At 52.2% G+C, this 13,484-nt stretch overlaps 3 pseudogenes across 1 annotated transcript, besides 2 other annotated features; all 3 read left to right on the top strand.

Annotated features, from left to right (window-relative positions):
- The first annotated feature begins 97 nt into the window (after positions 1-97).
- On the top strand, positions 98-3,083 carry KRT16P3 (keratin 16 pseudogene 3; annotated as a pseudogene). Its single transcript, NR_029393.1, has 7 exons — positions 98-705; positions 1,142-1,224; positions 1,362-1,518; positions 1,633-1,793; positions 1,883-2,531; positions 2,626-2,672; positions 2,833-3,083. The product of NR_029393.1 is annotated as a keratin 16 pseudogene 3 (transcript).
- Positions 379-964: an enhancer, noted in NCBI's record as "H3K4me1 hESC enhancer chr17:20406945-20407530 (GRCh37/hg19 assembly coordinates)". NCBI's record gives its function as "activates a minimal SCP1, AML or CMV promoter by ChIP-STARR-seq in naive and primed H9 embryonic stem cells {active_cell/tissue: H9 hESC(naive and primed)}" and the evidence as "EXISTENCE:reporter gene assay evidence [ECO:0000049][PMID:30033119]".
- Positions 2,182-2,682: an enhancer, noted in NCBI's record as "H3K4me1 hESC enhancer chr17:20405227-20405727 (GRCh37/hg19 assembly coordinates)". NCBI's record gives its function as "activates a minimal SCP1, AML or CMV promoter by ChIP-STARR-seq in primed H9 embryonic stem cells {active_cell/tissue: H9 hESC(primed)}" and the evidence as "EXISTENCE:reporter gene assay evidence [ECO:0000049][PMID:30033119]".
- Positions 10,381-10,964, top strand: KRT16P5 (keratin 16 pseudogene 5; annotated as a pseudogene).
- Positions 13,153-13,273, top strand: YWHAEP3 (tyrosine 3-monooxygenase/tryptophan 5-monooxygenase activation protein epsilon pseudogene 3; annotated as a pseudogene).

Genomic DNA, 13,484 nt, shown 5'->3' with positions numbered 1-13,484 from the left:
GTGATGAAATCCAGAGGGGAACCTGGAGTCAGCAGTTAGGAGGGCCCCGCCTTCCCCAGGTGCATATAAAGGTCTCTGGGGTTGGAGGCAGCCACAGCATGCTCTTAGCCTTCCTGAGCACCTTCCCTTTTTTCAGCCAACTGCTCGCTCGCTCACCTCCCTCCTTGGCACGATGAGCACCTGCAGCCACCAGTTCACCTCCTCCAGATCCATGAAGGGCTCCTGCAGTATCGGGGGCAGCATCGGGGGCGGCTCCAGCCGCATCTCCTCTGTCCTGGCCGGAGGGTCCTGCCATGCCCCCAGCACCTACTGGGGGGCCTGTGTGTCTCCTTCTCTCGCTTCTCCTTTGGGGGAGCCTGCGGGCTGGGGGGCGGCTATGGCGGTGGCTTCGGCAGCAGCAGCAGCTTTGCTAGTGGCTTTGGGGGAGGATATGGTGGTGGCCTTGGTGCTGGCTTCGGTGGTGGCTTGGGTGCTGGCTTGGGTGGTGGCTTTGCTGGTGGTGATGGGCTTCTGGTGGGCAGTGAGAAGGTGACCATGCAGCACCTCGGTGACCGCCTGGCCTCCTACCTGGACAAGGTGCGTGCTCTGGAGGAGGCCAACGCCGACCTGGAAGTGAAGATCCGTGACTGGTACCAGAGGCAGCGGCCCAGTGAGATCAAAGACTACAGTCCCTACTTCAAGACCATCGAGGACCTGAGGCACAAGGTGGGTGACTTTGGTGTATGGAGCACTGAGAGAGGCTGGGGCTATAGTGTCCCTTGGGATACCTCTTTTTAGCAATTACACTTTACAAACAGGGAGACTGGGCACCTTTGGGGAGTGGCCAGGATCATCCAGGGAAGTGGTGGCAGAGGGTCCCTTTTCAGCATCTCTGTGCCCGGACTGGGGCTGTTACCCTGAATCTCTTATTTCCTGCAAGGGTTCAGCTGCAAGTTCCGCTTCCCTGCCTTGGGCCCAGGAAGGGGGTGATCGGGATGGAGTGCATCCCTGCATACCCTGAGCTGGTGGAGAAGGCATGCCAGCCCTGCCAGCCAGAAGACTTCCAGATTTGAGGAGGTTCCTTTTGCCCCTTTCTGCCTTTCACGCTCAAGTAGTAAGGTCCTTGCCTGACCAGGGCTCCTGTCCTCCATCCCCACTCCAGATCATTGCGGCCACCATTGAGAATGCGCAGCCCATTTTGCAGATTGACAATGCCAGGCTGGCAGCTGATGACTTCAGGACCAAGTGAGCAGCCAGCATGGTGGGCTGGGGGCAGAGGGCAAGGGACAAAGAGTGGAGCTGTCCACCCAGCAGGGCCAGCAGACCCCGAGCCTCAGAATCCTCAGGGCTGCAGCCTAAGGACCTGACCTCTGTCCTGCCAGTTAGGAGCACGAGCTGGCCCTGCGGCTGACTGTGGAGGCTGGCGTCAATGGCCTGTGCCGGGTGTTGGACGAGCTGACCCTGGCCAGGACTGACCTGGAGATGGAGATGGAAGGCCTGAAGGAGGAGCTGGCCTACCTGAGGAAGAACCACGAGGAGGTGTGGTTGCTGCTGGCTTCCGGGATGGGAGGCTGGTTTGGTGGGGTTGCCAGATGCACCCAGGGCCAGGAGAGGAGTCTGCTGAGCTGACCTCCTCCTGCCATCCCTTCCCAGGAGATGCTTGCTCTGCGAGGTCAGACCGGTGGAGAAGTGAACGTGGAGACGGATGCCGCACCTGGCGTGGACCTGAGCTGCATCCTGAATGAGATGCGCAACCAGTACGAGCAGATGGCAAAGCACAACCACAGAGATGCTGGGCCTGGTTCCTGAGCAAGGTGGGGCTCGGGCCCTCAGTGGGCCTGCAGCACTTCCCAGCTGGGGGCTTTGGGAGAGCCTCACCTTTCACTCTGCTTTCCTGTCTCAGACCAAGGAGCTCAACAAAAAAGTGGCCTCCAGCAGTGAACTGGTACAGAGCAGCCGCAGTGAGGTGACGGAGCTCCAGAGGGTGTTCCAGGGCCTGGAGATGGAGCTGCAGTCCCAGCTCAGCATAGTATGAAGGACCCGGCACAGCAGCAGCCCCCAAGTCACCAGTAATGGCCACCACCCCCTCAACAAGCCACAATTTAGTTCCACCTTTCTTTTCTCAGGATGGGACCAGAGGACTCATGGGACCTGTTATATAGATAGAGAAACTAGCCCTAGAATAGTGGGCTAGCATTTCTCTATATTGTCTGGCCCATCAGTACCCCAACTGGGATCAAAATCCAGGCACCTCTCAAAAAACATGCCCAGAGACCTGGAGGGACAGGAGTGACCACCTCCATTGACTCTTTTTCTCTCTCTCACTTGCAGAAAGCGTCCCTGGAGAACAGCCTGGAGGAAACCAAAGGCTGCCACTGCATGCAGCTGTCCCAGATCCAGGGACTGATTGGCAGTGTGGAGGAGCAGCTGGCCCAGCTACGCTGTGAGATGGAGCAGCAGAGCCGGGAGTACCAGATCTTGCTGGACATGAAGACACGGCTGGAGCAGGAGATCGCCACCTACCGCTGCCTGCTGGAGGGCGAGGACGCCCAGTGAGTCCCAGGCCCCTCAGTTCTGCCTCCCAGACCCTTTAGCCCCCCTGCTGCTCTCAGCACAACTGACTGCCCTGCCTTTTCTCACCCACAGCCTTTCCTCCCCACACGCATCTGGCCAATCCTGTTCTTCCCGAGTGGGTAAGGCTCCTGAGGCTCCCCGGCACTGCAGCCCCTCTGCCTGTTTCCATGGAGTGGGGGCCAGGCCCTTCTCCTCAGAGCTCCCAGCCCTCCCTTCTCCCTGCCCTGGAGTTGGCTTAGCTCTCAGACCCCTTCTCACCTCCTCTTCTCTCTCCCACAGTCTTCACCTCCTCTTCGTCCTCTTCGAGCCGTCAGACCTGGCCCATCCTCAAGGAGCAGGGCTCATCCAGCTTCAGCCAGGGCCAGTGCTCCTAGAACTGAGCTGCCTCTACCACAGCCTCCTGCCCACCAGCTGGCCTCACCTCCTGAAGGCCTGGGTCAGGACCCTGCTCTCCCAGTGCAGTTCCCAGCTGTCTCCCTGCTCCTCTACTGGTGATGGGCTAATAAAGCTGACTTTCTGGTTGATGCAAACCTGTGTGATCTCTGTTCTTGAACTGATGGGAGGGGAGTTGCAGGTGCTTTCCAGAAACCTCCTGGAGCCTCACAGCCTGAGAGATGTGGGAAATGGGACAAATCTCAGAAGATCTTGAAGGCTCTTCCTGGAAGACCTCCATGCTCTATGGAAGTGGGAGGTGGGACACAGGATGGGGGAGTGTCCACACGTGCTGACTGACACCATGGAGGCATTCTACAGAGGTTATTTTACGAGGTTGCCCTTGCAACCCTGTGAGGTGGGTGTGGTCAGGCCCATTTTGGAATTTGACAACCCCCAGAATTCAGAGTTTCAGTAACTTGCGTAAAATCATGCAGATAGTAAGTGGCACGGCTGGAGCTCAAACTCAGTTCTGTCTGTCTGCAAAGTCCATGCCTTTCTTTTAACACCACTCTACCTTTTCAGGTATTTTAACCCGAAGACTCCCACGCTTGAATCTTAACTCTACCCATGGGCTCCCCCACATCTGCACACAGTTTCTACATTGGAGGGTGGAAGGGAGTGGTATCTGCCTTGAGAACGATGTCCTCGTCAGACCTGAAATCCTCCTTCTCCCAGCCTGCTTCTCCTCACACCCCATCAACTCCTCCTTCCTCATTCCCCTCAGCTGGTGAATTGCGTGCTGATGAGCACCCTAGGAAACACCTGCTGCCCCATGGCCATTGCCATGTTCAGATCTTCTTCCTCTCTCCCTAGACCTGGGCACAGCCTAACTGGGTCCCCTTGAGAGTCAATCTCATCCACATTCAATTTCCACTGAATGATTTCCATCAGAATGTGGTCAGGATCAAGAACAAGGGTGAGATCAGGACTCCCCTGCTTAACAGCTGGCGATGGATCCCATTCCCCTCCAGCACTCAGCCTTCAGTCTCAACCCAGCTTGGTGTCCTCCTGTCCCTCCCAGCTCCAAACCCCTGAGTCACCCCTACCTGACTGAGATATGACCCATACCTCTCAGTTGCCATTCCTTCTTCCTGGATGCCTTCCATATTTTAAATATTTAAATTTAAAAAAGTTATGTATGTACAACATCATAAGCCTTTTTTTTTTTTTTTTTTTTTTTGGAGACAGTCTTGCTCTGTCGCCCAGCCTGGAGTGCAGTGACACGATATCAGTTCACTGCAAGCTCCACCTCCCGAGTTCACACCATTCTCCTGCCTCAGCCTCCCGAGTAGCTGGGACTACAGTCACCCACCACCATGCCCGGCTAATTTTCTTTTGTATTTTTAGTAGAGACAGGGTTTCACCGTATTAGCCAGGATGCTCTCGATCTTCTGACCTCGTGATCTGCCTGTCTTGGCCTCCCAAAGTGCTGGGATTATAGGCGTGAGCATGGCACCCGGCCAAGACTTTTTTTTTTTTTTTATGCTTTAAGTTATAGGGTACACGTGCACAACGTGCATGTTTGTTACATAGGTATACATGTGCCATGTTGGTTTGCTGCACCCATCAACTCATCACTTACATTAAGTATTTCTCCAAATGCTATCCCTCCCACAGTCCCCCACCCCCTGACAGGCCCCGATGTGTGATGTTCCCCGCCCTGTGCCCATGTGTTCTCATTGTTCAATTCCCACCTATGAGTGAGAACATATGGTGTTTGGTTTTCTGTCCTTGTGATAGTTTGCTTAGAATGATGGTTTCCAGCTTCATCCATGTCCCTGCAAAGGACATGAACTCATCCTTTTTTATGGTTGCATAGTATTCCAAGGTGCACATGTGCCACATTTTCTTAATCCAGTCTATCATTGATGGACATTTGGGTTGGTTCCAAGTCTTTGCTATTGTGAATAAGACTTTTTTTTTTTTTAATGAAAAAGCCATCCCTAGACTGGATACCAAAGCTCTGTTCCCGCCTCCCCTTTTCAACTTCAGCTGTTTCTTTTGGGATTTGTCTCCTTACTTCTAAATAACAGGCTTTACCTTGTTACTGTTTGGTTTTTCTGTTTCAGTTTTTAATCGCTTGACTTCTGGCTGTGAAGGATGAGGATGTAGATCTGTTATACAGCATTGCCCTTCCCCACTTCTTTTTAAAATATCTTCTTCCCACCTTCTCAATATATTCATATTTTTGTTAAATAAATGTTTACATTATCATGACTATTTAAATGTTATTCATAGTCAAATCATATATTATACTATATTACATTTTATACTATATTAAATTTCCTTGGAATAAATATCTCTTTTTCAATTTGCCTAAACTTTCTATGTATTGATGATTAATTTGTTTCCTGATTCACTGCTGGAAGCATAAATCTCCTCAGTATTTTAGAACCCTGGGTGTTCCTTCAATTTCATCCTCATGAAGATGTGTCTCCTAGGGCCTTCTGTCCTGCTCTTGTCTGTTCTGGGTGCTGTTTGGGTCTCCTGCTCAGCTGTGATCCTGGAATCTCTCTTCACCATCATCCTGAAATCCTTCTTTTTCCTGTGTTGCTTTCCTTGTTTTCTGGATCCAATGTCTTCCTCCTTCCTGTTTTCATTTTTCCCTTTGTTTTAGTGAAGCACATCCTCAAGTAGTTTCCTGGGAAGGGAGTTATCAGGGTTAAATTTTTTTAGACTTTTTGTGTCAAAAAGATCTTTAGTTGATCCTCACTCTTGCCTGATAGTTTGGCTGGGTATGGAATTCTAGCTTGGAAATCATTTGCACTCAGCATTTGAAGGTACGGTTTCAGTGTTTCTTGGATTCTGGTGTTGCTGTTGAGAAGTCTTATGCCATATTGATTCTAGATCACGTCTTATTATCCTATTCCCACACTCTTCCCTAGAAGCTTTTCAGTTCTTCTCTTTCTCTCCAGCAGGCTGAAATACCATGTGTTGAATTGATGCAGCTGTGACTTCATCCACTGGCTGGACACTAGCAGAAACTTCCAATGTGGGAGCTCATGTTGTTCAATTCTGGCAAATTTTCGTGTTTCATGATTTCCTCCCTCCATTTTCTCTCTTTCTGAAATGGCTCTTTTTCCTATGTATTCTGTTTTATTTTCCGTCTTGTCTTTTTTTCTTTGTTGCTGTTTTCTGAGAAATTTCTTTAACTTTGACCTCTAACTCCATTATTCAGAGTTTTAAAAAATCTGCTGTATTTGGCCGGGCACAGCATCTCATGCCTGTAATCCCAGCACTTTGGGAGGCCAAGGTGGGTGGATTGCTTGAGCCCAGGAGTTCAAGACCAGCCTGGGCAACATGGTAAGACCCTGCCTCTACAAAATATATAAAAATTAGCTGGATGTGGTGGCCTAGGCCTGTAGTCCCAGCTGCTAGGGAGGCTGAGGTGGGACGATCACTTGAGCCTGGGAAGTCAAGGCTGCAGTGAGCTGAGATCACACCATCGCATTCTAGCCTGGGCAACAGAGTGAGATCCTGTCTTAAAAACAACAATAATCTTTTATATTTTTCATCTCTCACAGCTCTGCATGTTTTTTCAACAGTCTCTTGTTCTTGTTTCAAGATGCAATGGTTTCTCTGATCTCTTTGAGCCTATTAGTCCTGGCTCCAGCAGTGCTTCTATTTCTGTCATCAGCTCAGTTTCCTCAGTTCCTTTCTTGCTGTTTGTCTTGCCTCCATCTTTCATGCCAGAGGCTTTTCTCAGATGTCTGGTGGTCCTTGGTAGTCGTTCATATTTAAGAGTAAGTCACTGAGAAACTGATTGGAATATGTGTATATGTGTGTGGATAGCATGGGAGCTTGCCACTGGTAGGTCTCAATATAGAGTAATCTGGTGGAGAATAAGCTGTTTCGTTGGGGGACAGTTATCTGTAGGACTTTTCTTGGGGAGGGTCTTCCTCAGAAGGAATACCTCTAATTCCCTGTCTGGATTGTAAAAGCTACCAGCTTTCTGGAAGCTGAGTGCAGGAAGGGGGCAGAGAAGGTCTCAGTCTCAGCTACTCTGCTACTAGTTGATTGCAGTTTACTGGCCCTGCTTGGTGTCTCAGGATTCAGAGTCCCTCTGGGGAAATTCTCAAGCATAAACATCTAGTTTCTCCTGGAGTAATCGTGGAGTGGTTGGGTTCAGACAAGGAAGGGAGAGAGGAGCTATAGGGGCCTCTCTGCTTTTTTTTTTTCTTTTCCCGAGATGGTGTCTCACTCTGTTGCCCAGGCTGGAGTGCAGTAGCACCATCTCGGCTCACTGCAAGCTCTGTCTCCCGGGTTCACACCATTCTCCTGCCTCAGCCTTCCGAATAGCTGGGACTACAGGCGCCCGCCACCACGCCTGGCTAATTTTTTTGTATGTTTAGTAGAGACGGGGTTTCACCGTGTTAGCCAAGACGGTCTCGATCTCCTGACCTCATGATCCACCCGCCTCGGTCTCCCAAAGTGCTGGGATTACAGGCATGAGCCACCGTGCCCGGCCACCTCTCTGCTTTTTATATAGATCTCTAGCTCACCCTCCCATTTCTAGTTCACTTGTTCCTCACTGTCAGAGGTACCTGGTGCCCCCTATTCCAGAGACTTTCCAGAGTTCTTAAAAATTCAGAGTTAAAAAGTTCCAGAGTGTAAATATGCTTTGCCTCTTGGCTTCTCTCTGGGCAAGCGCTGGGCTTTCTTTGTCTTTGTTTTCCAGATTCCAAAATTTGATTGCTATAATCTACTTTCCTGATCTCTTTGACCCCATGGATTTTATCCATTTACAATAATTTTAGCATTGGCACGGGGCTCCCCCATGTAGGGTGGTGCAGGGAGACTCACTAACCACAGGAGGTCCTGCCCGGGGCTCCTCCTTTACCCCCCTCCTTTTGGGGCAGGCTGGAGGGAGGGTCAGGTAATGCTGCTCACACAAAGCCTGCCTAGAAGTCCAGAGGTGGGGGGTACTCTGGGCCTCAGCTGTCAAGACTGGCAACCCTTTAACCCCTGATGACCCAGAAAATGCCCTCCCTTAAAATGTCTGAGTACCATGCTTCTTTGGCATCAGGGAGGGGACGGGAGTGTGGTGTCCTCTAAGTCTGCTCCCTGCTTGGCCGGGCTGTTTGCAGCTCCTTGGTCACTGAGTCCTTGACTGCAGGGGAAGAGAGGTTGGCCTCAGGCTCCAGGTTAGGCCACGGTTCTGAGAACGGGTATGGGGGATCAGGCTTATATTCCATGCTAGAGCTCCGGAGTAGGTGCGTGGGGTTGGGATGGGGCTGCAGAAGTGCCTTTTAAGATTATGTGCATGGACTGATCTGTCATTGGTTCCCTGCCATCTTTATCTTTTGGATTCCCCTCGGAGCAGTGGGAGGAAGGAGTTTCTTTTGGGTTCCATTGAATCAAATGAAAGGGAAAGTAAAGCTGTTCCTATGTCCTGGGCTCTGGAGCTTCTATTCCTGATCCCTGCAGAAGAAGGAGACGGTGGTGGTGGTGGGTGGGGGTGGCGGGGCACAGAGGAAGCCAGTACCGGGCCCTGCACCCCATTCCCACTCCCAGATCCCTCTGGACACAGCATTTTTCTCCAGTGAGCACAGCCTTCCCTTGCCCCACAGCCAACAGCAACATGGCTCCCAACAAAAGCATCTGCCCCTCAGCCAAAACCCCTGTTGCCTCTCTCTGGGGAAATTGTAGGACTGGGTCAGGGTGGGGGAACCATTCTCTGCAGGGAGATTAGGAGTGTCTGTCAGGGGTGGGTGGAGTGGGGTGGGGCCCTGGCTTACTCACATCCTCGAGAGTCCTTTGCTGGCAGATTTGGGGAGCCCACAGCACAGGTGTCTGTCTCAGTATTGTCTTCCAAGCTCCTAGGCCACAGTAGTGGGGGGCTCCCCTCTCTGGCTTTTTCTTTGGTGACAGTCAAGGTTGGGGGTGGGGTGAGAGAGGGTCCTGCTTTTCTTCTAGGAACAGTTGATCCCAGGAAGAGCAGTGGAGCCTCCAGCAGGGGCTGTTGGGGCCTGTCTGAGGAGATAGGACGCGTCAGGCAGCCCCAGACACGACCACATTCCTCCCAACATGCCTGCCGGGGTCTGTGGAGCCCAGGGGCTGAGGGGAGGGTGGGGTGGGGGCCGGAAGGGTTTGCTTTGGGAGGTTGTCTGGGAGATTGCTGAAGTTTTGATATACACACCTCCAAAGCAGGACCAAGTGGACTCCTAGAAATGTCCCCTGACCCTTGGGGCTTCAGGAGTCAGGGACCCTCGTGTCCACTTCAGCCTTGCCCTTGGCACAGCCTGGCACCACTCCAGCTTCTACTCCTCCCCAGAACAGCTCCTGGGCCAGTTCCACAAGGGGCTCAAACGAGGGCACCTGAGCCAGACTTCTGCCTACACTAGGGATGTTCTGGGGGTCTGAGAGGATATCTGGGGCTGGAAGAAAAAAAGGCCCCCCTAGGCCTGTTCCTGGATGCAGCTCCATCCACTTTGGGGCTAAGCCTGGGCTACAACAATGCCAACCAGGCTTCTTGCCATACTCGGTTTACAAAAGCCTTTCACATACGCTGTCGCATTGGCTTCTCACAGCTGACTGCAGTAGGCAGAGTAGATGGTATGACTCCCACTTTGCAGATGAGAACACTGAGGCTCAGAGAAGCGCCAAGCCCTGGGTCACGGGGGCGTAAATGGCAGAGCCAGGACCCACCTGACTCCAGGCTGTTTCCTGGCCTCCATGAGGCCACCCGCCCTATGGTGTGGTGGATGTCAGATCCTCACCGTAGGGAGGAAATTAGGGTCTGTGCCCGGGGCTGGGGAGAGCTGCCTAGATTTCTCTTTGATGGGGGTGTTGGGGTGGGAATCACCATACACCTGACTGGCTGAGTGTATTTCAGGGATGGGACAGGGTTCTCAGCACAGCATGGCAGGTCAGGCCTGGGAGGGCCCCCCAGACCTCCTTGTCTCTAACAGCGGGTCATGGTGAGGGAGGCCTCTCTGTGCCCAAGGTGACCTTGCCATGCCGGTGCTCTCCAGCTGGGTATCTGTCCCCTGCAGTGGTGGGCTTCCTCTAAGTGGATGGTAAAGGCCCATCCAGTTCATGGAGAGCTAGCAGGTCACCAGGTTTAAGGTGCAGAGGCCCTGCTCTCTGTCACCCTGGCTGAGCCCAGTGTGCGGGTTCCTGAGGGCTGGGACTCCCAGGGCCCCATGGGAAAGTGTAGCCTGCAGGCCCATACCTCCCCCTGTGAATCACGCCTGGCGGGACAAGAAAGCCCAAAATACCCCAAACAATGAGTTTCCAGTAAAATATGACAGACATGATGAGGCGGAGGAGAGGAGGGACCTGGCTGGGAGTTGGCGCTAGCCTGTGGGTGATGAAAGCCAAGGGGAATGGAAAGTGCCAGGCCCGCCTCCTACCCATGAGTATAAAGCACTCGCATCCCTTTCCAATTTACCTGAGCACCTTCTCTTCACTCAGCCAACTGCTCGCTCACTCACCTCCCTCCTCGGCACCATGAGCACCTGCAGCCGCCAGTTCACCTCCTCCAGCTCCATGAAGGGCTCCTGCGGCATCGGGGGCGGCATCGGGGGCGGCTCCAGCCGCATCTCCTCCGTCCTGGCCGGAGGGTCCTGCCGCGCCCCCAGCACCTACAGGGGTGGCCTGTCTGTCTCCTCCTCCTGCTTCTCCTCTGGGGGAGCCTACAGGCTGGGGGGCGGCTATGGCGGTAGCTTCAGCAGCAGCAGCAGCTTCAGTAGTGGCTTTGGGGGAGGATATGGTGGTGGCCTTGGTGCTGGCTTCGGTGGTGGCTTGGGTGGTGGCTTTGCTGGTGGTGATGGGCTTCTGGTGGGCAGTGAGAAGGTGACCATGCAGCACCTCAACGACAGCCTGGTCTCCTACCTGGACAAGGTGCGTGCCCTGGAGGAGGCCAACGCTGACCTGGAGGTGAAGATCCATGACTGGTACCAGTGGCAGCGGCCTGCTGAGATCAAAGACTACAGTCCCTACTTCAAGACCATCGAGGATCTGAGGAACAAGGTGGGTGAATGGGCAGCAGAAGGTGCCATTCCAGCTAGCTCCTTCTGGGAACAATAGATGCCCCAGGACACTGACACCTTAAGATTTCTCTATAGGACAGAGCCCACCCCAGATCCCTTCTTTCGAGGTCTTGGATGCCCTAAGAGCTGATCAGTGAGAGGATGCTCTCTCTTCCCCAGCCTGCTCATCCCCTTCTGATGTCAAATCCTCAGATCAAGTGAGATCAGTGAGTCCTGTCCTTACATTTTACAGAGGAAGCAGTTGAAGCTTTGAGAGGTGCTGTGACCAGCTGCAGGTCACATAGCAAATTAATGGCAGAGCCAAGGCTCGGGCCCTTGTGTCCTACCTTCCAGCACAGGGGAGGAGCGAGGCTCTAACGGGACCAGGCAAGACATCCAAACCGCTCATTAGCTCACTAGTCTGGGCTGTGGCTGCCGCCGCCCATAAGCCTTGGTACAGTCTGGTCCCTCCCCACAGCCAGGCAGGCATGGAGAGCCTGCAGAGACAATCAGTGTGGCCCCTTGACGTGCCCTGCACAAAGGGAGCCTGGCAGGCTTGTGCCCTGACTCCAGCCCCCTCCTCCCTGCTCCCACCGAAAATCCTTTGCTTGACTTAACCCACTGCCCTTTAGCCACACAGGACTCCTACCCTGGCAGTCACTTTGCTTGTTTCCACCTCAGGACATTTGCACATGCTGTATGCCCCTCCCCTTTTTCCTTCTCCTGGCTCACTTCTCCTCCCCCTTCACTCAAGTGTCTCTTTCTCAGGGAGAAGGTCACTGATGCCCCCAACCATGCCACACCCTTTATTATGTGCTCTCCATTCCCCCACCAACCATGCTCACCTCAGTTGTGAATTGCGTGTTTATTTCTGCAGGTCTATTTTATTCCGTAACTGTTCATCAAGATAAGGGCTTGCTCATTACTTTATCCCCAGCACTCAACCCAATGCCTGGCACATAGTAGGTGCTCAATAAAGGATGAATCTGAATTTACAGTGAGGAAACAGGTTCAGAGAGGGGAAGCAACTTTCCCCAAATAAGTGGAAGAATCCGGCTTTACACTATGACCTGCCTGGCTCCGAAGCCGGTGCTCTCAGCCTCCCTGCTAGGTGTGTCCCAGCAGACACAAGCCTGGGGTGCCTAGACTCAGGTGGAGGCACCTATGCGGGCCCACTCCATCCCCTCACTGTGGTCTGATAGGGTCTGGCTGGGCAGAGTGGTGGCAAGTGCCTGTTGTATGAGAAAGAATCAGTGTTGACAGACAGGTGCAGGTACCCACAGCCCTGCACCAGTGGGCAGTGCACACCTGCCTAGATGGCTCATGGAGGCTCCAGGGGAGGAGCCGTGACTCAGCGGGTGCTCCCTCTCCCAGCAGCCAGCCACATGCTGACTCAGGTCCCTCACTTGCCCCACCTGGGGATCAATGACAGACAGCAATGCGGAGTAAGTTGAAGGTGTGGGAAGCAAGAGGGCTCCCACGACCAGAGCAAAGCTGTCCTTGTGCTGCCTCCAGGTCCCCATGTCCCCCGTGGACGATACCTTTGCCTCTGGGGACACCTTGCAAGTAGGGTCTTTGGTTCCCTCTCTGTCCCTCTGTCTGCCTATCTGGGTCCTTGCAGCCCTTCTCTCCTACTCCATCCACTCCCCAAATGGAGGGCCTGCATTTGGGGAATATAAGTACTGAAGGCAAACTGCCTGGGTTTGAATTTTGTTCTGTCCCTTGCACCCTGCCTGGGTTCAAATCCTAGCTCTGCTTATTAAGTTCTTTTAAGGTGATGATCTTTGAGCAAATGTCTTAGCTTCTGTTTTCCCAAGTAAATGGACACAATAGTTGCTACCTTGTGAAAGATTCATGTAATTGACCAGTGTTTACCAAGTAGCATCAGTGTTCAGTTTCAGTCATTGGTGATTCTGCAGTTGGACTGTGATGGGGTGTTGGGGTAGGGGTGGTGTGTGTGTGTAGCACTTAATTGCACGCAGAAAGGAAAAGATACTTTTGATGACCCAGAGGCAGCTTTTCTCTGCTTTTGTGTCAAAAGGGAGGAATGGAGTTTGGAGAGGGAAACTAATTCTGTTCAATACTAAGCTCTCTTCCTCAAAATCAGAGGTACATAGAATGTGTAATAACTTACAAAATTTCTAGACTTCAACAATCTGAATTTTTTAAAATTCATTTTTATTTTTTCAGGTTGAGACTGAGCTGAAGTTAATCTGTGGCGACATTCTGAATGTACTGGACAAACACCTTATTCCAGCAGCTAACACTGGCAAGTCCAAGGTTTTCTATTATGAAATGTAGGTTCTATACTAAAAATTAACAAGTGTACTTCAATAATTTTAAACACGCTCAGGAATAATTGGCTTTGTTTCTTTTTTTCTTAGCTATTTCCTATTATTTTCCTTATTAAATATAACGAAAAATCCCACAGAAATTAACTGAGGAGCCTCTAAATATCAACAAAATTATCACTTGATAGACTAGAATTAAACAAGCAAGTGGTTCCAAGAAATGGCACAAATG

Source organism: Homo sapiens, chromosome 17 (genome assembly GCF_000001405.40).
Source record: "Homo sapiens chromosome 17, GRCh38.p14 Primary Assembly".
NCBI lineage: Eukaryota > Metazoa > Chordata > Mammalia > Primates > Hominidae > Homo > Homo sapiens.
The sequence above is the reverse complement of the archived record's forward strand: the minus strand, read 5'-3'. Positions and strand labels throughout refer to the sequence as shown.